Here is a 26151-nt window from a genome sequence, read left to right as displayed (position 1 = left end):
TAACAGATCTAAGACTAGAACCTAAGAAGGTCAGTGACCCTAAACTTTGTGTGTATGTAGAAGAATGTGTCCTTGAAATAATTATTTGCTTAACTTTAATAGAAGATGCATAAATAATAATAAAGTACTTACATAACAGGAAAAAACACATGTATTGAAATAAGGGTGTACAATAGAAAGCATACCCTAAAGACTTCTTCTATTAAATATTTAGCTCTAAACCTTGACCATGATTAAGATTCTGGAAATGACAAAGGAGCAGCTCTCCTAAAGCAAGAGTCTCTGTTTTCCAACTATACTAATCCATCCTATCCAATATTACCAAATAAATTTTCCAAAGTGACCTTCTGATCCTGTTTCTTTGTCTTTAAAAAGGGTTAGGTAACACTATTAGTGTGTGGCAGATCTCAGATTCCACCTGAGAATCTCCACCCTTTTCCCCATTTTAATATGAAGCCCCATTTTTAATATGGCCTATGCCTTTCCACAAATCAGATGCTCAATATATAATTTTTAAATTAAAAGATTCAAGAAATTTGGGACTATTTTTTAAGAATAGAAGGAAGAAACATGATAGCTACCCTCAGATATTTGAAAAGGATATCAAACAAAAGGCGGATTTGGTAATTTATACAACTCCAGAGAGTAATAAATAGGAATTACAACATGGCAGTGCTTTGTTTAATAGAGTTAAAGCAGTGTTGAAGTTACACTCTATGAGAATTTTTAAAACCGTGTTTTCATTTTGGTGGCATTGTAAAAAAAGAAAAGGCATATTCTACATCATCTAAATGATCTCTCCATAGTTCTGTATACTTGCCTCAAGCCTTCTGTGTTTGAGGCTGCATTTGTTTATGATCAAACTGTTACCAAATGACCACTAAAAGGAACAAGGTTACATTTTTTAATGCAGTATACATACTCAGACTGAGGTCACTGGGTACATCTCAAAAATTCAGAGGATTATTTTGCTCCAAAAGAGATCTGAACATTAATCCTGTGTTAAGAAACACAGGAATAAAAAAGAAAATAAGTAGATTGTCTTGTGAGAATGTTTTGTGTATGTATGTCTGAAAATTCTAAAAGCAGACTGGCCAATGCGCCTGTGGTGGTTGACATTAAATAACAAAACTTAAACCCAAAAGTCTGTACTTCGCAAGAACCTCAAACTTTAAAGTGCAATGAACTGAAAATTTAAAAATGGAATATGCTATGAATGAATGAATGAACATAAAAAATGGAATGTTCAACTGTGGCCTAAGCCATCAACGATTCAATGCTGTACTCAATAAATTAGCTGCACAAATACCTGTTGAATAAATGAATGCACAACAATCTGTTACAGGACATAGTATAATAGTTAGGTGCCTGAGTCATGGTTAAGCGTTGAAGAAATTTTTTGAACCACTGAAATAAGTCAACTTAAATTATTCAAGAAAATATCCCTTCATCCATTCACAGTGAAGGCTTTGACTACTGGTTTGACACTATAACCATTTAAATATTTTAACTATGTTAGCTACAAAGGCAGGCAATATCCAACTTTCCTCTGCTAACAAGTTAAAAGACATTTAATGAGATTCTGGACACAAAGGACATGGAAATGTAGGCTTTCTTAATTTCCCCCTCCTTTAACATCCCAAATAAATAGCTTTGAGAACATTTTTCTTCCTTTAGTATTACCACTATGGAAAATTATTTTAGAATAACATGTCTATACATAAACCAGTATTTAGTCTGCAAAGGCCAGATGTTTATGGAAAAAAAACCAAGTAAAGGAAAAGCATCAGTAACTATTCTGCCACTATTATTTACTCACTGGTGGTGAATAGCCTTCGTCAGATTATCACAAAGAAGGCTTGAGCGATTCTAAACAATGTTGAAAACAACTTAACCAATACTATAATATTATGAATATATGGATAGTTTCTACTTAATTAAGCCCTTACTTTGTGCCAAGAGCTGTTCTGAGTGTTTCATATGAGTTGATGTATCATTTCATTCTCATAACAATCCTATAAGGCAATTATTCTTATCATCCCAATAAAGCAATTTGTGTAAGATCACACAGTAGAGCTAAACGATCTAGAAAAATGTGTGATCTTAACACATATTTAGTAGAGAAAAGGATCATCTTTTTCTTGAGATGAAAACCCTAACCCATAGAAGAAATACTCAACTTCCCAAAAGTCATGACAAGAACAGCTTGCAGAATGACTACACTTGGTAGAAAACTATAGAATATGAATTCAAATGACTTGCAACAAAAACTCATGGCCCATTAATTACTGGTCAAGAGTTCTGTGTATAGTAAGATAATATTCTACAAGAAGACCATCAAATATGCTACAATAAGACATATTTGACTCATGTAATCAGGGAACTCCATTCACATGGCCAAGTAGGGCAAAACGTTTTCTTCTAGGAAACTGATATATAGACACTAGAAGAGAGAGGGAGTTTTTTTTACTTTTTTTTTTTTTATATTACAAACTGTATGGATGCAGGTATGGGGATGCTAGCCGTCCTCTTCCACACCATACAGACAGCCTGTCAGTGGCAGAGTAAGGCCAGCATGCAAATAGAGCAAAGGTATACAAGCCAAGTAATATCAAGACAAAAGTCAGGGATTATTACACTCTGAGATCATTTGAGACTCTAGATTTGTCTCTTAAACCAAAATTAGATTGTGTTAGCCAATGACTACATTTTCCCCTCTTAAACTAGATTGAGTTGTATTTTGCTACTTGCAATAAGAAGAATCCTAATATACTTATCAAATTGCCAGTGTTCCAAATTTAAAACTTTAATGATGATAAAGTTCAAGAAAATGACACTCTAAAATACAACTAGGTCAAACTTTCTAGAAGATAAACAGGCAATTACATTGAAAGCTTTAAAATGGATACTTTTTGACCCTGTAATTCTACTTCTTCTAATTTATTATTAAGAAAGAACCATGAGGCCGGGCATGGTGGCTCACGCCTGTAATCTCAGCACTTTTCTCACTTTTTTGAGAATAGGTTTGATAAAAAGGCAGTAATGGTAAAACAGACTATATCTGAAATCTGGAGAGTATTAAGAGCCATATATTATGTTAAGTACCCAACATTAATATTATCTAATTTAACCATCACCACAAGCCTACAAAATTCTGATACTCTTCCTCACTATTTAGATGGGAAAAAATGTAGATGTAAATTTTTTAAAAGCAGGTTAAAAACAGTACTCAGTCCCTAATCCTACAGTTATTAACATACAGATGTAACACAGAATTGAGAAATAGTAGACAATGGTCTCTACATAGTGAAAAAGCAGGTGATTTTTATTTCTTTGTGCACCTGTGTAGTTTTTAAATTTTTTCCTCCAAAATTTTAAAATTTCATTAACATTAAAATAGTTTAGCCAGATCAAATGATTGTAAACACACTCAGGGAACTCCTATTTAAATGGTATTCTATTATAAAGCAAAGAGAATAATCAATGCTCTTCTATTATAAAGCAAAGAAAATAAACCCCAACCTTACTATAAAGTAATAGAATTTAAATATCTATATCAAAAAAAGTCAAAGGAGATTCTTTAACTTTCTTCTTACCAATCAGTGAATCTCAGACAGGGAACTAAAGAATTAAAACATTCTTTTTAATTTTTTTTTTTTTTTTTTGGAGACAGCATCTCACACTGTCATCAGGCTGGAGTGCAGTGGCGCGATCTTGGCTCACTGCAACCTCTGCTTCCCAGGTTCAAGCGATTCTCCTGCCTCAGCCTCCGAGTAGCTGGGATTACAGGCATGTGCCACCACATCCTGCTATTTTTTTTTTTTTTTTTTTGTATTTTTAGTAGAGACGGGGTTTCTCCAAGTTGGTCAGGCTTGTCTTGAACTCCTGACCTCAGGTGATTCACCTGCCCCGGCCTCCCAAAATGGTGGGATTACAGGCAGGAGCCACCGTGCCGGGCCGACAATATTTCTAAAGAAACCTTTTAAAAACCTGCATTCTCTTTGTTCATCCAATTATTCAATCATTGTCTCATTTGTTAATTCAAATACTTATTAAGAGCTCACTGTGTACACCACGTACCAGTATTCACACCACAGATTTCTTTTTTAATTTTTTTGAAACACAGTCTTGCTCTGTCACCCAGGCTGGAGTGCAATGGGGCGATCTTGGCTCACCGCAACCTCCGCCTCCCAGGTTCAAGCAATTCTCCTGCCTCAGCCTCCTAAGTAGCTGGGATTACAGGCACCCGCCACCACGCCTGGCTAATTTTGGTATTTTTAGTAGAGATGGGGTTTCACCATGTTGGCCAGGCTGGTCTCGAACTCCTGACCTCAGGTGATCCACCCACCTCGGCATCCCAAAGTACTGGGATTACAAGCATGAGCCACCGCGCCCAGCCCACAAATTTCAAATTCAGCCTACTTGGGATTTGGTCCACTGAAACATATCCAGTTTTATAATGGAAAGGGGGAGGGTAGAAATCATTTTAAAGAAATTTGCTTAGCATCTGAATTTACAAGACTCTTAAGAACAGAAACGTATCCCAACCCTCAAAGACTTCAACTTTCGCCTTTAAACCTTATTTTTAACCATAGTATTTTTCAGCTGGAAAAACAAATCCTCCCAAACTACTTGGAAAAAAAAAAGGGGGAAACACGGGGGACCTGTCCTTAATGAGTGAAAATTGCAATATTAAATACTAGACACTTTTAAATTAATTTGCCTAAATATATTGTGACTTTTCAAACAAGTGAAGAACTACATACAGTAAACTATGTTCCATCACTACATTTTCCCATTTACAAGATAATAAATTTTCAAAATCATATGTTGAAATAATCTTTATGGTTAAAACTGTAACCGGTTAAGGTGAAATTTTAAAATAAAGAAACACTCATAAATAACAGTTGAGATCACCAGAACAGCTAAAAGCTAACATCTTGGGAACAGTTTTTAATAAAAATACATTATTTCAATTATTGTTTTAAATCTTAGAGAACAAATTTCCTAATTAAATTGGGCTTTATCAACAATAGAACAGGTGTACACTATTTTACCCAAAAAGTGTTTCTGTGAAAAAGTACTGGCATAACAAATCTAAGTCACTAGAAAAATTGAATTCTCCTTTTAGAGGTACTTACTCTCCTTTCAGTTAAAGCTTCCACTGGCAAACTGTAGTTAGCTTTCAGCTGGTTAATTATCCACAAACAAGCCCTTAAAAACAATCACTTCAACATATTAGATGGCTACCACTTTGCCACATTAGATGGCTAAGAAAGAAAGAGAAGAGAAGGAAGGAAAGAAAGAAAACAAGTGTTTAGAAGGATGTGGAGAAATAGGAACCCTTGTGCACTGTTGGTGGGAATGTAAACTGGTGCAACTGCTATAGAAAACAATATGGTGGTTCCTTGAAAATTAAAAAGGGTTACCATATGATCCAGCATCCCTCTTCTGGATATGTATCCAAAAAAAGTGAAAGCTTCAAAGAGAGATTTGCAGACTCATGTTCAGAGCAGCACAATAACCAAGATGTGGAAGCAACCCAAGTGTCCGTTGCTGGATGAATGGAGAAACAAAATATGGAACATATAATGGAATATTGCTCAGACTCAAAAAGGAAGGAAATTCTGACACATGCTACAACATGGATGAACCTTGAGGACATTACACAAAGTGAAATAAGCCCATCACAAAAATATTAAAACCCTATAATTCTATTTATATGAGGCATCTAGAGTAGTTAAATTTGCAGAAACAGAAAGTAAAATGGTGGTTGCCAGAGGCTGAGGAGAGGGGGAAATTGGGAGTTGTTTAATGGGTAAGATTTCAGCTTTGCAAGATGAAAAAGTTCTGGAAGTTAGTGGCACAATGTGAATATACTTAACACTACTGAACAGTACTTAGAAATGGTTAAGATGGTAAATTTTAGGTTAATGTTTTTGAACTACGATTTTAAAAAACAATCAAAAGCTATAAGAAAAAAGCCATGAGGTAATCACATTTTTGTTTTTATGAAACAAAAATTTTAAATTTTGTTTTAAAAATTCAGGTTTTAGATACTAGATTTCTCTAAAGGGATCATGTCTGGCAAATAAATAAGGGTTTATAAATTTCTACTGCAGAAAACATGAACATTAATACTCAACGCATATACAAAACAGTTAATTCTTGATGTGTCAAGAGACCAAGAGATATAATTATTTTTAAAATTCCAAAGCCTATAGTTAATTTAAACAATCTGACCATATTTTTACCAAAAATACTGAGCAACAAGAAGCTTGGCTTGTCTTAGTTTCAAATTCTCTTTCTAACCTTCCAGAGTTAAGCAGAAAACACATACACACACTGGGTAAAATCCACCCACTGGATAACTAGTCACAAAGTTTAAAAAATCAATTTCTTGATTGGAAACTCATCCAACATCACATTTAAATTTAGATTTTTTTATCCTGGTTAAGAAACAGACTTATGTTAATCTTAGATAAAGGGATACAGTATTTTAAGTATCTAAATTTAAAAAATTATATACTAAGAGAAGGCATCTATGAACACACAATTTAACCCAAATCTTTAACATCCATGCACATCAATTTTTATTTCACCACCAAACATAATAAACTGAGTTCTTCAGAAAAAAAAAAAAAATCAGTCAAGAGACTAAATAATCCCCCTCAGCTTTCTATACACCACTCTTGACATACAAGAATAGAATGTAACCACAAAATCTAAACCCTGAGCCGTGACACCATTAGAGTCACAGACAATGGCGTTAAAAGTAAAGACAATGGAAGTTAACAGGTAGAAAAGTTGACATTCTCCAAACTGCACAAGGTGCTCTGCAGTGGACCGTAGGAATGAACTCCAATACTTTCTCAGTCTAAAATAACTCGATAGTTCAGTAAATACACACGTGTGGAAGAGTGCATAGACTTCATACAAATTGAGCCACAAAACAGACCAGTAAGACAAGCTTGAAGTCTTGCCTTCAGATGGAACCCAATGGTCTTAACTCTGGAGAAACTCATAAGCAAAGGACAGTTTTTCTACCACGTAGCTGCTTTACTGAGAATATTTTATCAACTCATTATCTTTTACAAAGGTTAATTTTTATAAAATTGTCTAAACTTTGGCATCAAGACGAAAAATGTTTTAACTTACTGCCAGTACTAAGAATGCAGTGTCTTGCACATATCTTGCTTAAATGAACAGTAAGACTAGAATACTGTGTATGTTTGACTCTAGAGTCCAGAGTAAACTCAGTATTCTATTTGGGGAGAAAACACAGGGGTGAGCAATTGTGAAGCAGGAGGCCTCCACTAGAGTAGAGAGCAGATCAGATGCTCAAGAAAAATAACTGATACTAGGTGCCAATATAACCCAAGGATGTACTCTTTTGCCCATTGTAACAGGAAAAAAACGCTTTTCAAGCTCTGGATCCAATGTTAGTCTTTTCACTTTCAGGAGATAGAAAAGATGCATGAAGACACAGAAAAGAAACTAAAGGAAACAGCTGGAAGGACTAGCAAAAAAGAGTTTTAAGAGTTGTGGAAGTTTAAACAAGAATTTTAACAGGTAACATCTATTTTCAAGTACACAGTGTCATCAAGACTCCTGCAATGGGCTAAGTGCTTCACAAGCATTATCTCATTTAACCTTTACAATAACTGCTCAGATGGCTGCTATTCTTATCATCATTTCAAAAGGAGGAAAGAGGCTCAGAGGCATTCAGTAACTTGCTCAAGCTCACAAGTGAAGGGCTGGGACCCTTAACTCAGAGGTATCTGCCTCTAGATCCTATGCTCTTAACCACCATATGCTGCTTCCTCAAACAAAAGGACAATCAAAATAGAATCATAAGGAGAAAAGTTTGCTAATAAATGAGAGAGCTTCTTGACTTTTAATGGCCAAAGTTAATGAAGGAAATTAAGGAATATCTATTCTCAGAAATTTTACTTTAATGATTCAGTAATTATTTGTTTTGGAAAACTCTGAAGGAGTCTGGCCTGAAGCCTGAAACAGAATCATTACTCTCTTGACATTCCCTTAAAAATCTAAAAATCAAAATGCACGTGCTATTAAATAAGTTCAGCCCCTATAACTAGGAACAACATGAAATGTCCTGCGTTAAATCTACAGTATCATAACCATACCCATTTTCTATTCTGATTTCTTCCAATTCTTCAGGTTTTGAGTTTCCTAGACCTTCTTTTAAAAAGACAAATTTGTTTTCCAAACTCCGACATTGGGAGCTCATTTAAAATGAAAAAAAAAATTGCTTGAAGAAAATCTCCGTCCCTCAACCTCTCAGTTATCTTTCAAAAAACTGTAAATTAGTTAGAAAAGGTCATCTATTATAAACAGCATCTAAAAGTGCTGAGTAACCACCACTTATTAAGTGTTTAACTTAATTTTTCAGTTATATCAAGAACTTCTATACTAAGAAATATGAATCCATCCAATCCAAGGTTGCCAAGTTTTCAAATGAGAAAATTTTGAAAGTAACAGATGGGCTGAGGAAAATCTAAGAGCTTATTTAGAATTGGGGCTGATGAACAGTAGCTAATTTATTAATTCGTTTCAAAACTGCTTCTGATATTCTGAACGGATGAATGGCAAAACAATGAGTTCGATACTGTATATAAAAAAAGTGGTACATAATTTAATGCATTGTATTAAGTATGATTCAATATATAATAAGGATAGAAAACTGGCACTACACAGAGGTAATCTGCCTTAGGTTTACAATATAGCAGCTTTATCATTTCATCAAAAGCACTGTAATCACCTCCGCAAAATAAACTGCAATTAATTCCTGGTAACTCTTGGAATTAATCTAGACCTGTTTGCTCACTTTTTGAATTTTATAAGTGACCTTCTCTGCTGTATACAAACTAAGAATTTAATATTCTATTGAAGAAGGACCAGGAGAAGGGATCTACAAAACAGCAGGAATATAAACAAGTTTATCTTCTGCTGATACTGATTAGGGAAATTAATCTCTCTGCCAGAAGAGTGGAAGGATTTAACAGCAAAGCCAGTCTACTAACCAAAACTCTTACTCTAAATCTTCAATTCCTTAAGTGATTTCCTTAAAAGTTAAAATGCCAAAGTGGGCAAAATTGTGTGTGTGTTGGGGGATGGGGGAGTCCGCTCTTAACACCACTGGTCCAACTCACAATTCTTAATCTCTAATGTACCCCTTAGACTCAAACTTCAAGGTGATTTATAAAACTTGCATTAAGTTCTAACCGAGTGATTACTTACTTTAGATATATGTTGACGGTTTTCCTTTAATATACTTCAATTTCAGGAAAATGAGACAGAGTTCGAAAATTTTTGCAACATTTTAGTGCCGCATTTCATTCACTCATCATATACTTTTTTCAGTATCATTAAAACTGCCTAAATTTAACCAGCCCCTACATTTTCATTATTTGAAGAATGAATGAGGCATATATTCATTTATAATATCTGCGTTCTCGTGACAGGTGATATGAACTCAAGTATCCAATTCTGAAGTTCTCTTTAAAATGTTGCCATTTCCCTAAATTCCCATTACTCTGACTCTCAGTCTAGGCAAGTTTTTCAAGGCGATTAAAACGAAACAAAACCTGCACGTGCAAACTAAAAAGTTCGCATCTTAAGGCCATCGCGGCAAATCCCTAATGCACAAAGGCAAAGACACCCGCGACGGCTGGACAACTACAGGACAAGATCGCATCCGACCACGCGAGTCCCTCAGTCGGGAACTCAAGGCCCCAAGTCCACTGGAAAGCCAGGACCAGCGTGCAGGGTCCGCCCCAGGGCCGAGTTTTCAATGGAACTGGAGAGGATGGGGGCGGGAAGGAGCGGAAGCTCCGGGTGCAAACCGCGGCTACCGAGCTGCAGCTCATTTCTCTTCCCGGGGTTTTCAGGCTGGGTAAAGTCCCCTCCGGATGGGGCCACAGAGCAGGCTGGGTTTTTGAGGCGGGTAGGTGGGCGGCGCGAGGCCCCCACGGCCGGCGGGGAGGGCAAGCAGGGCTCAGACCCCGGCCCCTGAAAGCACTTTCGAGGCGTCTCCCACCCCCCACGACAAGATGGCGACGTGGACAGCGGGGGAGCCCGGCCGGCGAGGTTGGGGGAAGAGAGGGGAGGGGAGCAGCAGCAGAAACAAAAAGGCTGCCCCCCCCAATCCCATTAACGCCGAGGCCGGCCCAGGAGCCCAGGGCGGGCAGGCGGGCGGGGTCGCCGGGGGAGAAGGCGGCGGGCCGAGGGAATGGGCTTACTTTTTCTTGTCGTTCGCGCCGCCGGCGCCCTCCATGGTGAATCGGTCCCCGCGATGTCTTCACGGCGGGCGGCCCCCAGGCTCGCTCCGGCCTAAGCGCTGGCTCCCTCCACACGCGGAGAAGAGAAGGAAAGGCAAGTCCAGAGGTGGGGGTGCGAGGCGGGAAACCCCTCGTGAGACTAGAGAGAAGCGGGCGGCAATCGCCGGGGTCCGGGCCCGGCTCCGAGCCTCTCCTCAGGTGGCTTGTCAGGGCCCAGCCCGACACACTGGCCGAAGCGACGAAGAGGGTGATCCTCCTGTCCCCTCAGACGAGGCAGCACTGTGCACTGAGGAGCTGAGGCAGCGTCAGGGGGCGGGCAAGGGCGGAGGCGCGCTCGGGCGCGCGGGGAGGGGAGAGGGGGCGGGAGCGCGCCCGCTCGCCTGCCCAGGCCGGCGCGCGCTCCCGCAAGCCCGCCTCACCTGAGGTGGAGGCGGGTTCCTCGAGATCCAATGGCGAGCGACGCAGGCGGCAAGTCCCCACCCCAGCCCACGCCGCTCTCAGCCAATCAGGAGGCGGTCAGCTGAGGCACAGCTGGGACGGGCTGCGACGCTCACGTGCTCGTCTGTGTTTAGCGGCGGAGGAAAGAGAAAGGAGATGGGGGTGCGGCTCAGCCCGAGTCTGGGGACTCTGCGCCTTCTCCGAAGGAAGGCGGTGCCCGGCTTTGGGAGGCGCTGCTGAGAAGGGATTTCGGTTGCCTGGTCCCAAACATGCATCATATTTTCCTACTCTTGGTGCAGTAATGTAATGCTCCTGCTCTCTTTCTCCTCGGCCTCAGTGCTGGGCACGATTGCCGCCCAACTCTGCTGGGCTCTCTGTTCAAAAAAGCAGACTTCGCCTCGTGGCAGCAAGCCCTTCCTTTGGTCTCGTTGCTCAGATGTGTTACAACGGGGTCTTTCCTTACCAGATTACCTAACCATGGGTCAATGTCACCCACCGCACTCTTTGCCACGGAGCACAGGGGAACTCACCTTGTCTACTAAGTTTTTCTGTGGCGGAGTTTACTTACTGAATAAATGCAATTAAAAATAAAAATGAACTCCTGTTGCTGTAAACTTCAAGGGAAATAAAGTTGCAGGGAAATCTTAAAATCTGAAACTATGTTAAGCATTTGCAAATAGGTATAAATGACTTTAATAAGCATATAAACCAATTTCAGGGAAAGAGTAGAAAAAATGGCCTTTGGCAACTTTGCAAGCTACTAAACAAAACATAATCACTTTTGTCTTTGGAGGCATAAACTTCAAGCCTGTCAGTCTTCTAAAAGAAAAATATGTTTTGAGCCCAACAAAGTAGCATTGCACATATATCTCCACTTGGCGCTAAATTATTTTACTTCTCACCTTTGCCTTATGAGTTTCTTGTTAAAACCTAGCTTTGGGTTGTAAATATAAATATCTGTAGTGGCTTTCAATTGTATTAGCATGTAAAAACAATGGTCTATATAGAAGCATCAAACTCTGACAAGACAACAACCAATGTATACAGCACCTCTTTTTAACTGGTCAGTAGACCTACAAAGATACGATTAAACATTGACCTTAGCGGACAGGGTGGTTCCAGCTACTCAGAGGTGTGAGGCTGGAGAAGCCTGGGTGTTCCAGCCTAGGGAACGTAGCGAGACTCCGTCTCTTTAGAAAATTTTTGATCTTCACGCTACTTTTGTTTTTTCAGATCTACAACACTAAATGATATGTATTATGTCTTGAAAAGAACCATGGGAAATGCCTGAAGAGAAGAAAGAACTAAAAATAATTACTCATAATTTCTTTTTTAATTGTGGAAAGAATACTGTAAATTAAAAACTTTTTAGTTTAACATTCTCAAGATACTGTGTTAAGAACACTGGCTCCAGAATCAAGCGTGAGCTTGTACACAGGCTTTGAATCTTACTGGCAAGTCGTTTAATCTCTCCATAACTCAGTTTACTTATTTATAAAATGGATATAAAAGTGTCTATACCACAGTATTATGGATGGTTAAATGAGATAATAAATGTATACTTAGAACAATATCTGGTGCATAGTAAGCACTCAGTAAATGTTAGCTCTTAGTATTGTTGGTGGCGTTATTATTATTATCATTATTATTATTCTGAGGCGGAGTCTCGCTCTGGCCCACAGGCTGGAGCGCAGTGGCGCGATTTCGGCTCACTGCAACTCCGCCTCCCAGGTACAAGTGATTCTCCTGCCTCAGCCTCCCAAGTAGCTGGGATTACAGGCACGCACCACCACACTCGGATAATTTTTCTATTTTTAGTAGAGACGAGGTTTCACCATGTTGGCCAGGCTGCTCTCGAACTCCTGACCTCAGGTGGTCCGCTCGCCTCGGGTTCCCAAAGTGCTGGGATTACAGGCATGAGCCACAGTGCCTGGCCTATCATCATTATTATTGCCCTCAAATTTATTCCTCTGTTAACAGTAATTACTCGGGCTTCTCCTACAGTTTAGCCATTTTTAACTATCCAAGAATACCAATTATGTTAATATAAATCCACATATATTCTCTATTTTCAACTTTGGAACTGCCCATCGTGTTCCCACCCTCATTTATGAGGATAGCTGCAGAGATCTTCCATCATTTCCCTTTTCATTATACTTATAGCAATTATCTCTGGCCAGTGATTATAGTATATAATGTTTGTGACATCAAAAGACAAGCATTTTGTAACAGTAAATCTAAGTCATTTAAAATTTTTTTGGATCATTTCAAAAGTTTAAAGCAGAATGATAATTTGATCAGCAAAAAAATTTTTGAATATTCATTAAATATGCCCTTAAGTTAATTTTCCTTTTCAAAAATGTATAAAATATATGTTTATGTATATGTGTATACACAAATATAAATATGAAAATGGAAAGGAAAGTAGTATATGTGTATATATATATATGTCTATACAAATATAAATATGAACATGGAAAGCAGTAATATTCAACCAACTAATTTTCATATAGTTACAAAGGCACCAAATAGTATCCCCTAATTCAAACAATCCTATTAAATAACAGACACCAAAAAGGAAAATTTCATATAGGATAAAATTTTAAATCCCTCTCTCTACAACCACTTAACAAATGCATTTAGGTTATTACTATGTAAGTATATCTTAACAAACAGTCATTTAATCACTTTCTAACTTTGCAGAACTTTCTGAGTAGACTACAAGATTACTTGCAAATGACCCCATTGACCCTTAGCCCGTATTTATTAGGAAATTGGGCAGTGAATCAGGAGGTTAAGTAAAACTTGAAATTTTGATTACTACTAAATAATACAGAGCATTGAGCCTTTTGAAGGTGAAATGCATCAGATGCACACAATTTATAGGGTATCAAACTATACAAGAAGACCTAGTATTCAGTAAGTGATTCCTGGCCTATTACTACCCTTAGTTGTTTCTTTTTCTTTAAGCTATTCATAACGAGAACAATGGCAGCAAAAGGGTATTGTTTGGAAGGAAAGTGCGTACAAGATAAGAGGCATTAAAAATCTTTGTTTTTTCCTTTCAAGAATCAAGACACAAAGTATCTGTGATTCCAACATTTTGGGAGGCTGAGGCAGGAGGATCACTTGAGGCCAAGAGTTTGAGACCAGCCTGGGCAACAAAGTGAAACTCCCATCTCTACAAAAAATTTTAAAAATTAGCTGGGCTTGGTGGTTAGTGCCTGTAGTCGTAGCTACTCTGAAGGCTAAAGCGGGAGGATCACTTTCTCCCAGGAGTTCGAGGCTGCAGAGATGTACGATTGTGCCACTGCACTCCAGCCTTGACAGAGCAAGACCCTATATCTTAAAAAAAAACACAAAAAACAAACAACAACAAAACCCACACACACAGACACACAAAATAAAATGTATATTTATCTGAGTTTAGGGGGAATATAAACAGACTGAAAATTTGATATTAGCACTTTTCAATTATGATAAATATTTTTAAGATGAATTTACAAAGGAACACCAAGGGGCTTTCAGTTTCCTGTTCAACATGTAAAGAGCTTGGAAGTTGTCACTCCCATCCTCACAACAAGAAAAAAAAAAGCTAAGCAAACTGAAATCAGTAACTCTTCTTAGATCCACCAGAGAATTGAGGTCACAGGAAAAACCACTGCCCTAAAAACTAGAGAGACAGACAGATAGATACAGAGAATCACAGCTTTTCAGAGAATCACAGTTTACCAGGAGCAGAGCCCAGGCACAGAAGCCAGAAGCTGAAGCTAGTTTCACAGCTGGAGCCAACATCAGTAGGAACACTAAACTGTAATTGGGGAATTGCTGGAGGCTCAGTGCAGACTAGCTTGAGAGTTAAAAAACTCCAAGGAGGCTCAGTCTGAGAGGGGCCTCAATACTTACCTCAGTTTTACCTCTGTGAATCCTGTCAGATTCTCACTGTAAAGATCTGAGAAAAATCTGCTTTGCTTTTGCCAGGGAGAAGGGGTAAGTAACCATCGTGAAATACTCTCAGGGCTCTCTGTTCTTCTTAACAAGACCTGGCCTCAAGGGAAACTCTCTATCAGAGCCTAACCAGATGAATCTACCAAAGGCTAACCAATCTGGAGGAAGGGAAATTACCAACTCTGGTCAGCTCTAGCCTTCCACAGGGGAGAAGGGAAATACTCAACTCAAGCTCACTAAAAGACTTGAGCCCTAATCATAGGACTGCAGAAAGTCCTCCTCTCCCCCTCACCTTATCACCACATCAGAAGAGCTCCTGTGTAATAACGGGGCATTACAGCTAAAAGAACTCAAACCTCAGACCCTATTTTAAGAGTCTCTGGGGACAGCCAAAGACAACATAGGAAGCAAAAACAAGGACACAGTAGGAAATTTTAGCCTCTGACACCACGAACAGTAACAAAGCCTACCTCTTTGCCAGATAAACATGAAACCTCACACTTAAAGGCGCATCTACCTAAGTTCTTTTTAACTGATACAGCATGTCTGGCTTTCAACAATGACAACAATGATAGAAAAATTACAAAATATGCTAAAAGACAGAAAACACAGTCTGAAGAGACAAACCAAACATCAGAATCAGACTCACATATGGCAGAGATTTTTGAATTTGAGACCAAAAATTTTAAATAAATATGATTAATATGCCAAGGATTCTAAGGAAACAGTGGACAACATGCAAGAACACATGGGTAATGTACGCAGAGATATGGAAGCTCTAAGAAAGAATAGAAAGGAAATGCTAGAAATAAAAAACAATAGAACAAATGAAAAAATGCCTTTAATGGGCTCATCAATAGACTGGATACAGCCAAGGCAAGAATAAGTAAGCTTGAAGATACGTCAGTACAAACTTCTAAAACTGAAATGCAAAGCAAAAAAAAAAAAAAAATGAAAAATATGGAACAGAATACCCACGTACTGTGGGTGTGAGACAATTACAAAAGTTATAACCTAACTGTAATGAAAGTACCAAAAGAGAAGAGAGAGGTAAGGAAAGAAGAAATAGTTAAGTAATGACCGAGAATCTTCCAAAATTAATGACAAATACCAAACCACTGATCCAGGCATCTCAGAGAGCACTGACAGGATAAACACAAAAAAATCTACACCTGGACTGGCCAGGGATGGTGACTCGTGCCTGTAATCCCAGCTCTTTTCAAGGCCAAAATGGAAGGATCACTCAAGCCCAGGAGTTAGAGAGTTAGAGACCAGGCTGGGCAACACAGGGATACTCTGTCTCTATAAAAAATAAAAAATTAGCCTGAGTGGGTGGCATGTGCCTGTAGTCCCAGTTACTTGGGTGGCTGAGGTGGGAGGATTGCTTGAGCCCAGGAGTTCAAGGCTGCAGTAAGCTATGATGGCACCACTGTGCTCCAGCCTGGGCAGCAGAGTGGGACCCTGTCATTTGTGTGTGTGAGTGTGACAGTCTCACTCTGTCGCCCGGGCTGGAGTGCAGTGGCACAATTTCAGCCCACTGCAACCTCTGCCTCCCAGTTTCAAGGGATTCTTCTGCCTCAGCCTCCCGAGTAGCTGGGATTACAGGCGCCTGCCACCATGCCCAGCCAATTTTTGTATTTTTAGTAGAGACGGGTTTCACCATGTTCGCCAGGCTGGTCTCGAACTCCTGACCTCAGGTGATCCGCCCGCCTTGGAATCCCAAAGTGCTGGCATTACAGGCGTGAGCCACCGCGCCTGGCCTAACCCTGTCTCTTAAAGAAACAAATAAACAAAATCTTCAAAATCTACACCTAGGCATAGTATTTTCAAAACTGTGGAAAATCAAAGACACAGAGAAAATCTTGAAAGAAGGGGCAAGGGAGTATGGGAGTGGGAGAAAACACCTTACTTATAGAGGTGGAACAATAAGAGTTACATCAAACTTCTTTTCAAAAACCATGCAAGCAAGAAAAGTGTGAGATGAAATACTTAAAGTGTTAAAAGAAAAAACTCACCCATCTAAAATTCTGTACTCAGTGAAATTAACCTTCAAAAATGTTGGAGTAAAAATTAAAGGAGTAAATTGTCCTTTCTTCAAAAGAAAGTCTGACTTTCTCAGACGTATAAAATGGAGGAAATTTGTTGCCAGTTGAACTGCCTTGCAAGAAATGTTAAAAAGAAGTTCCTCAGAAAGAAGAAAAATAATATAGATCAGAAAATTGAATCCACATAAAGGAAGAACGTTATAAAAGGAATAAAGGTAAAATAAAGTATTTTCTTTTTCTTAATTGATCTAACACATAATAGTTTGTTCAGAAAAAGAATAGTAAAAATGTATTCTGGATTATTTTATGGAAAAGGGAAATGAATGACAGCAATGTTAAAAGGGATGGGATGGAGGAATTAAGAATACTGTTATAAGATACTTGTACTACCAGTGAAGCAGTATAATATTATTTGAAAGTGGACTTGGATTAGTCATATATGTGTATTTGCAAACTCTAGGACAACCAGTAAAATTTTTTTCTCTAAAGTATAATTGATATGCTAAGAGAGGAGAAAGAATGGAATTATGTAGACTGCTCAATTAAAACCAAAGAAGACAGAAAATGAGTGGAAGACAACACAGAAACAAAGGACAAGAGCAAAAAAGAGAATTCCACAGAATTGACATAACAAAACCAAACAAAAAATCTCCTGAAACAAATAAGCTATTATAGCAAAGTTGCAGGATACAAGGTTAATGTACAAGAGTCTATTTCTTTCCTGTATACAGCAAGGAACAGTTGGAATTTGAGTTAAAAACACAATACCAGCCGGGCATGGTGGCTCACGCCTGTAATCTCAGCACTTTGGGAGGCCGAGACGGGTGGATCACCTGACGTTAGGAGTTTGAAACCAGCCTGGCCAACGTGGTGAAACCCCGTCTCTACTAAAAACAAATACAAAAATCAGCCGGGTATGGTGGCGGGCACCTGTAATTCCAGCTACTCGGGAGGCTGAGGCAGAAGAATTGCTTGAACGTGGGAGGCGGAGGTTTCACTGAGCCGCAATCGCATCACTGCACTCCACCCTGGACGACAAGAGCAAGACTCTGTCTCAAAAAAAAAAAAAATTACCATTTACATTAGCACTAAAATATTGAAATACTTAGGTATAAATCTAAGAAAATATGTATAAGATCTATATGAGGGAAACTACAAAACTCGAATGAAAGAAAACAAAGGAATCTAAATAAATGGAGAAATAGTTCATGTTCATGGAAAGGAAAATTCAATATTAACAGGTCAGTTCTTTTTCCAGTTGATCTATAGATTTAATACAATCCAAATCAAAACCCCAGCAACTTAGTTTGTGGATATCAACCAGCTGATTCTAATGTTTACATGGAAAGGCAAAACCAAATAGCCAGTATGGTATTGAAGAAGAACAAATTTACAGGACTGACACTACTACTACTTCAAGGCTATAATATAAACATACAGTAATCAAGACAGTGTAGTACTGGCAAAAGTACAGACAAATAGATCAGTGGAACAGAATTTAGAGCCCAGAAATAAGCCCACACAACAATAGCCACCAAAAATAGCCATTCGTTTTTGACAGAGGAGCAAAGGCAATTCAATAAAGAAAGAATAATTTTTTTTAGCAAATACTGATGGAACAACTAGATATTCACACGCAAAGAAAATTAACTTTAGACTCTCACCTTATTACACCTATCACAAAAATTAACTCAGAATGGATTCTAGACCTAAATGGAAAATGGAAAACTATAAAGTTTCTGGAAAATGACATAGGAAAAATTCTAGGTTGACCTTAGGTTTGGCAATGAATTTTTAGATACAACACCAAAAGTATAATTCATGAAAGAAAAAATTGCTAAGTTGGACTTCATTAAATTTAGAAAACCTTTTCTCTGCAAAAGACAATGCTAAGAGAATGAAAAGACAAGCCACACATTGGGAGAAAATATTTGCAAAACACATGTCTGATAAAGGACTTGTATCAAAAATATACAAACAACTCTTAAAACTCAACAAAAGGAAAATAAATAACCAAGTTAAAAAGTGGGCATAAGATCTGAACAAACCTTACTAAAGACATACAGATGACAGACAAGCATATGTAAAGATGCTCTACATCATATGTCATTAGGGAATTGCAAATTTTAAATAACAATGAGATACCACTACACTCTTAAACTACTAAAATCCAAAACACTGATAATACCATATGCTGGTGAGCATGTGGAGCAACTGGAACTCTCTTTTATTGCTGGTGAAATGCAAAATGGTATAGCCACTTTGAAAGACAGTTTGTTAGTGTATTACAACACTAAACATAGTCTTACCATACAATCCAGCAATTGCACTCCTTGTTATTTGCCTGCATGAGTTGAAAACTCATATGTTACCTAACAAATGTTATAGCAACTTTATTCATAATTGCCAAAAATTGTAGACAATCAAGAATTGCTAATAGGTGAATGGATAACAAATTGTGCTGTATCTATATGATGAAATATTATTCAGCAATAAACAGAAATGAGCTATCAAGCCACCAAAAGACTTGGAGGAAATTTAGATGCTTATTGCTAAGTGAAAGAAGCCAATCCAAAAAGCCTATATATTGTATGACTCCAACTCTACAGCGTTCTGGAAAAGGCAAAACTATGGAGCTAGTAAAAAGATCAGTGGCTGCTAGAGATTAACAGGAAGAGGGGAGGGATGCATAGGTGGAACATAGGGGATTTTTTAGGACAGTGAAACTATTCTGTATGGTACTCAAATGGTAGATACGTGACATTATGCATTAGGCAAAACCCATATAACTATACAACATTAAGGGAGAACCTTAATACAAACTATAGACTTTAGTTAATAATCATGTATCAATATTGGTTCATAAGTTGTAACAAGTGTCCCAAACTGATGCAAGATGTCAATAATACGGAAAACCATGAGTCTGGGGGTGGTGAGGAAAGGGAGAGTATATGGGAATTCTCTGTACCTTCTGTTCAATTTTTCTTTAAACCTAAAACTGCTCTAAGAAATAAAGTCTATTAATTAAAAGGAAAAAAACTAATACTTTTTTTTTTTTTTTGAGATGGAGTCTCGCTCCGTCACCAGGCTGGAGTGCAGTGGTGCGATCTCGGCTCACTGCAACCTCCACCTCCCGGGTTCAAGCGATTCTCCTGCCTCAGCCTCCCAAATAGCTGGGACTACAGGTGCGTGCCACCATGCCCAGCTAATTTTTTTGTATTAGTAGAGACGGGGTTTCACCATGTTGGCCAGAATGGTCTCTATCTCTTGTTGGCCAGGATGCTCTCTATCTCTTGACCTGGTGATCCACCCGCCTTGGCCTCCCAAAATGCTGGGATCACAGGCGTCAGCCACTGAGCCACTGCTCCTGGCCTGAATACCTTTTTTAAAATTAATCCAAGGCCACTTTCAAAATGAATATCCCCCTTTTTTTCTTAACCAAAGTCACGTTTTCCTATCTTTCTGAATGAAGCAAAAGGGTTGATGTGTAAGAATAAACCTTAATAAAACATCCCATTCACTATATTCTGACTAGAAAGGAAAATGATATTTGGTATTTCTCCAACATCAAAGTCAATTGGAAGATTCTTAAAAGCCACAGTTCCATAAGATATTACATTTCTAGAAAAAGAAGACATAACAAAGAACAGAGTTGCATTTTTGAAAATTAATGGTAATAGTCTCCCCTGATTCAGACACTTACAGGATTTCAATATATTTCTTCACTCATAAAATTAATTTTAAATTGTTAAAATGATCAGTTTCAATAGCTGAAGAGTAAATAGCGTAGCTAGCTGTAAGTTGGTATATTAATAAACAGAAAAGGATAGGCATGGTGGCTCCTGCTTGTAATCCCAGCACGTTGGGAGGTCAAGGTGGGAGGATTGCTTGAGCCCAGGAGTTTGAAGTCAGTCTGGGCAACATAGTGCGACCCCATCTCTATAAAAAAATTTTAAAAATTAGTCAGGCATGGTAGTGTGTGCCTGTAGTTTCACCTATATGGGAGGTTGAGGCAGGAGGATTGCTTGATCCTAGGAGTTTGAGGCTGCAGTGAGCCATGCTCATGCCACTTCACTCCAGCCTGGGTGACAGAGTGAGACACTGCCTCAAAATAAATAAATAAATTACCAGGAGAAGGATATTTATTAAGATTCTGCTTTGCAGGGCCGGGCGCGGTGGCTCACGGCTGTAATCCCAGCACTTTGGGAGGCCGAGGCGGGTGGATCACGAGGTCAAGAGTTCAAGACAAGCCTGGCTAACATAGTGAAACCCCGTCTCTACTAAAAATACAAAAATTAGCTGGGCATGGTGGCGTGTGCCTGGAATCCCAGCTACTTGGGAGGCTGAGGCAGGAGAATCGCTTGAATCTGGGAGGTGGAGGTTGCAGTGAGCCGAGATTGCGCCACTGCACTTTAGCCTGGGTAACAGAGTAAGACTCCATCCTGAAAAAACAAAAAAAAGAATTGGCTTTGCCTGCTTTCTATCTCCCATCCCAGACAATACAATGTGTAAACTTACTTAGATTATATCATTTTATAATTCATTAATTCAATATATTGTGTCCATTCTACTGAGTCAGACATATATTTTGGTTTAATCTGCAGGTTTGTGTGCAACTGTAGATAGAGTGTGAGCTCCTTATGGGCTGGAACACTTTTATCTTGGCAGTCCCATAATCTAGGATCGGTGCCCAGCACACAAGAACAATCATTTCTTGAGCACCTGCTACATTCCAAACACTGTAATAAGCATTTTAGATATGCTCTTTCCTTTAAGCATCGTGACAGCCCTATGAGGTAGGAATTCTAGTAATCACATTATGCATCAGTAAGTTAATGGTCAAAGAGGTATGGTCAAATACAAAGCCAAAATCTAGGAAGCAGTTGAAATAGGATTATAGACCATGTCGCTCCTTTATTCTACTCCAACTGCGATAATAGTGTGTACGAAATGCTCACATCTATGGAATGTGGAGGTGGGGGGAATTACTGCAGGGGAAAAAACATAGTTCATCTTCCTGGAGTGTCAGTTTTAGAATGAGAGAAAATTGAGTGATATAACTACATGTGTGTTTTTTGGATATGTTTTACATTTAGTTAAAATTTTTTCAAATACAGCAAATGAGCAAATACCACAAAAGTTCTCCTGACTTCCTTTGCCTCTTCCTTCTCTCTAGAGGTCACTGCTGCTATCAATTATTTGTGTACCTGTCAGAGGTATTCATTTAGTATACCAAAATATCTGTGTTTAGTGTCCTTTCCTTTATGTACAAATGATAGAATAGTTTATGCTTTGTCTATCTGCTGAATGTATTTCATATTACAATATTGTTGGAGATTATTTCCTACAAATTCACATACATCTAATATTTTAAATTTTTTCTATATTCTACATCTGTTTATTTTTTAAATATTTAACATTTTATATATCATACATATCATATTAATAAACATAAAAGGACAGGCATAATGGCTCATGCCTGTAATCCCAGCACTTTGGGAGATCAAGGTGGGAGGATTGCTGAAAACAAATGTTTAATATTTTAAATATTATAAAATAAGCAGATGTATGATATGTAAAATATTTAAAATATGAAATATTTTAAATATAAATATTTATATGATATAAAAATATTTTATAAAGTAAACAGATGTATAATAAAGTCAACAAAATCACAAGAATTTAAAAATTAATGTGGCATTAATATTTATAAACAAGTATCTTTTACATTTAATTGCAAATAAAATTAGATTTCTCTAGGCAGGTTAGCAAGGAGACATTTAATAGCTAGGAAGACAAACTTTTATAGAATGAGAACCTTAGATATTAGTTTGCTTCAGGAAAACCCCACCATATCAATTTCCTTATCTGTTTGTGAAAGCTATCAACCTTAAATGAGAGGTAAATAGAGAAAATTACTTTCCACCTATATTCACTATTCCAACCAGTTAGAAGATTAGGGTTTTTCTTTCCTTTGTCCTTACTATCTATGGAGTGACTACAATGATTTCGCATCTCATACATCATTTTTCAGCAGCAAGGACACTATATCTCTTTATCGTAAATGACTAACAATTTCAAAATCCAGTTCAAACCAGCTTAGATATATCTGGTTTTTATGAAAGCAAAGGGTGAAAAATAGCCAATGAATCTAAGAATTCTTCTACTATAGAATTCACCTGCTAGATTTTGACCAAGCTACCATGACATGAATTAATATTATATAGTTATTTTTTTATTTGGGGCCAAAATTTAAATGTGTTCATATGTCTCTACAGGAGAAACATCTTCAAGTTCTATATACAGTCTGCTGAACTTCTGCCAAAACACTGCTGAACAATAACTCTTGTTAATTGGTGAATCTTCCAGAATTTTTGTGCATTTCCATCCTATTTTGTTTCAATGCTACGAAGAAAACTCTTTTTCTCGTATAATAATAATACAGGCAGTCAGGTGATGGAGAGTAGGTGAGAGAATCTCAAAATAAATCTTAGGACACAAGCTTTTACTTCTATAAGCTATTGTGACACAGTCATTCTCCCAAAAACAACTGTGGTTTCTATCAGGAAGAAAAACGCTATCAAAACATTGAAAATGCCAGTGAACGTGGCATTTAAAAGTTATTTTTTCCCCTAACTGTTAATTTTCACTACAAGTTGTATCTTTTTTATTTGAGGATTTTTACTATTTTAAAATGAAAAACTGTAATGGAAGAATTACAGCAGAAAAGAAAGAAGGATCATACATAGCTTAATATTTATCCTAACTTGGTTTTCTTCCCATGTGCCCTAAGCCACTGGCAATTCATATTTTCCAAATTTTGGGTGGATAATGTTTTCCCTTTGATTTTTTTTTGTGGGTAATGAAGGAACATTAGCTGTTTGGCTCTTATATTGGAAAACTTATAAAGTTTCCTTTGGTTAAGTGTGTCAGAACTTGTCTACGAAGAAGCAGAAGCAGTCACAAGAAGTTGATTAATTTTATACCTGGACTTGCAAAGACAGGTTAGCTACTCTCTTGTGTGAGTGTAAATTACATGGCAGTATCAAGTAAGCCAGAACTTCACAGGATTATCTTATTACAGGGATCATGATATTAAATAGGTACAATGTGCCAAGTTTTGGGGTGGATCTTGGGAATTGCAGACACCCTCTAACGTTACCTGGACCAACACTTTCTGGTCCTGACTATACCTCCGCCCCTCACTTTTTGTCTGCTCTTCTAGGATCATAAGAGACAAAAGGAAGACCATCCAGTGGGTTGTATCTGTGTTTAGACAGACAAGCATCTGGATTCTTCAACTGACTGTCTCTACCACATCCCCCATGTGACCAGGCAAACAGAACATTTTCTGATTTTGCTGCACAGACATTCTCCAAGCCCTGTTCCAGATCCTCTTAGCGAGATCTATTGCAACTCGGTTCAGGAACAAGAGTTTGCTTGCCTCAAGATCTTGTTGCTATTGATACTTCATTGATACTTGCTGCTGGAGCAAAGACAAATCCCAGTGCTTGGCTATCTGAGGAACTGTGGGAGGAAATAAGCTGAGAAAACTATGCCTTGGAATAACAGAAGTCCACCCTAAAACACTATTATATTATATTGGTGTAGTGGTGGATACATGAATGTATGCATATCTTAAATCAAGCTCACACAAAATGACTTATTTTATTGTATGTAAATTTTACCTCCATAAAGTTTGTTAGAAATGATACTGTCATAAAGAGGCTCACCACCTGTTCACTGTATTGCTCTTCTAATTTCTGTTCCTTTCCTTCATGCGATCCTCACCAGACTACAGTTCAACTGTCAATTGGTTGATCACCCGGATTTTATCTACACCTTAGCCTATGGTTGTTCATCTCGTCTCTGCCTATGGCCCATTGACTCCCGGATCCCAGCTCCATTCTTCGGTACTTTACGCACCCTGCTTCCAGTACCCCAACCAGAAGAATATATATAGCAGTTAACTGTCAGCTGGCGAAAAGGAGGAAAATTCAGGAAGATAAAATAGCTGAATGAATTATCCCCGCTCCAGAACGCAGAGGAAAAATGAAATGGCCAGACCCAGATGTTAAAAATGTGTTCCTTGCTCTTTCCTGCCCTAGCAAGGGCTGTTCCATGTTTAGGGGATGAATGCCGCTGAGAGTATTAGCAAAAATACATGTGTCATTGAGTCTGAGGAAGATAACTGAGACATACAGGTATTTCTCATAATGCATGTGGGCATCCATAGACATATTCTTAAATGGCTTAAGGACTTGGAAACTACCTCTAGGAAACCTGAAACTTGAATGTTGGTCCACTAGGGAGAAGAAATGTTCCATTAGCCTTCCAACTAAAGAAATACACTATCAAGAAGAACATTAGCTGTGTGTCCTATAAGCTTGGGAGAATAACTTACTTTTATTTTAATACATATGTTACTTTTATGGTCAGTATTTTGGTAAAATATATGCTCTATTATGGCAGTAATTTGTCTGTCTTATTAAATGCTATATCTGCAGTACCTTCTGTGCATAACACAGCAAAGGAGCTCAATAAATATCATTTTGTTGCTGCCCTAAAAAGAGTTCCAGGAGCACTGGTGTGTAGAAGCTCTGGAAATAAGGAATGGTGTGAATAAATAAATAGCTTACTTGGAAGCTCAGTGAAACCCATGTTGGATAATTGCTGTGTTAACTAATCCCAGAAAAGGGAGAATTAGTATCCTTGAGGACAGTCTTTTAGGATGTGGTGAAGTGATTGCTATTTATGGATCAGGATCTTGAGTTCTTGACCTGTTCCACCATCCACAATTCTGATAACACTTCCTTCTTTATGCTTCACTTTTTTCATCCTAAAATAAGGGATTTGAGCATATGATCTCCAATTCTCTTCTAGCTCTAACATTTTATGACAAAGCTCCTTTAAAATAATTTATTTTACACAGTCCTTAGAAAATTAAGACTGAGAGGCCAGGCATGGTAGCTCAAGCCTGTAATCCCAGCACTTTGGGAGGCCGAGGCGGGTGGATCACGAGATCAGGAGATCAAGACCATCCTGACTAACACGGTGAAACCCCATCTCTACTAAAAATACAAAAAAATTAGCCAGGCGTGGTGGCGGGCACCTGTAGTCCCAGCTACTCAGGACGCTGAGGCAGGAGAGTCGCGTGAACCCAGAAGGCGGAGCTTGCAGTGAGCCAAGATCATGCCACTGCACTCCAGCCTGGGCGACAGAGTGAGACTCTGTCTCAAAAAAAAAAAAGAAAATTAAGACTGAGAAACGTAGAGTGAGTATTATAACTAAATAGGTGGACAATTAGAGTCAAAGACCAAATTTTTGTTAAGTATTACAAAGATAAGAATTCTTCACATTTGAATTGAACATTTAATATTTTCAAAGTGCATTTGCATCCATCTCCTTATTTGATT

General features: G+C 38.2%; 1 protein-coding gene and 1 long non-coding RNA gene across 4 annotated transcripts in view, besides 4 other annotated features; one reads left to right on the top strand and one right to left on the bottom strand.

The window, feature by feature from the left end:
* The window catches only part of HIF1A (hypoxia inducible factor 1 subunit alpha), a 52746-nt gene extending 42154 nt beyond the window's left edge, over positions 1–10592 (bottom strand). For 2 of the 3 annotated variants that reach the window (NM_001530.4, NM_181054.3), the window contains exon 1: positions 10266–10592. In NM_001530.4, coding sequence (NP_001521.1) covers positions 10266–10300 — 35 coding nt within the window. In that variant the 5' untranslated portion in view covers positions 10301–10592. Of the gene's footprint in view, positions 1–8150; positions 8394–10265 lie in introns of those variants that run through there. The other variant, NM_001243084.2, reaches the window with a different exon arrangement.
* Positions 10134–10233: a silencer, noted in NCBI's record as "silent region_5824". NCBI's record gives its function as "represses an Ori minimal core promoter by ATAC-STARR-seq in GM12878 lymphoblastoid cells {active_cell/tissue: GM12878}" and the evidence as "EXISTENCE:reporter gene assay evidence [ECO:0000049][PMID:35858748]".
* Positions 10282–25064, top strand: HIF1A-AS1 (HIF1A antisense RNA 1). The gene is made up of 2 exons (NR_047116.1): positions 10282–10398; positions 24530–25064. It is a non-coding gene; the product is annotated as an HIF1A antisense RNA 1 (long non-coding RNA).
* Positions 10534–10833: a silencer, noted in NCBI's record as "silent region_5823". NCBI's record gives its function as "represses an Ori minimal core promoter by ATAC-STARR-seq in GM12878 lymphoblastoid cells {active_cell/tissue: GM12878}" and the evidence as "EXISTENCE:reporter gene assay evidence [ECO:0000049][PMID:35858748]".
* Positions 10904–11273: an enhancer, noted in NCBI's record as "active region_8500". NCBI's record gives its function as "activates an Ori minimal core promoter by ATAC-STARR-seq in GM12878 lymphoblastoid cells {active_cell/tissue: GM12878}" and the evidence as "EXISTENCE:reporter gene assay evidence [ECO:0000049][PMID:35858748]".
* Positions 14760–15054: a silencer, noted in NCBI's record as "tiled region #861; HepG2 Repressive non-DNase unmatched - State 21:Repr". NCBI's record gives its function as "represses a minimal TATA promoter and a strong SV40 promoter by Sharpr-MPRA in HepG2 cells {active_cell/tissue: HepG2}" and the evidence as "EXISTENCE:reporter gene assay evidence [ECO:0000049][PMID:27701403]".
* Positions 25065–26151: the final 1087 nt, after the last annotated feature.

Source organism: Homo sapiens, chromosome 14 (genome assembly GCF_000001405.40).
Source record: "Homo sapiens chromosome 14, GRCh38.p14 Primary Assembly".
Classification (NCBI taxonomy): Eukaryota; Metazoa; Chordata; class Mammalia; order Primates; family Hominidae; genus Homo; species Homo sapiens.
Note: the sequence above shows the minus strand (reverse complement) of the source record. Positions and strands in the feature narration are given on the sequence as shown.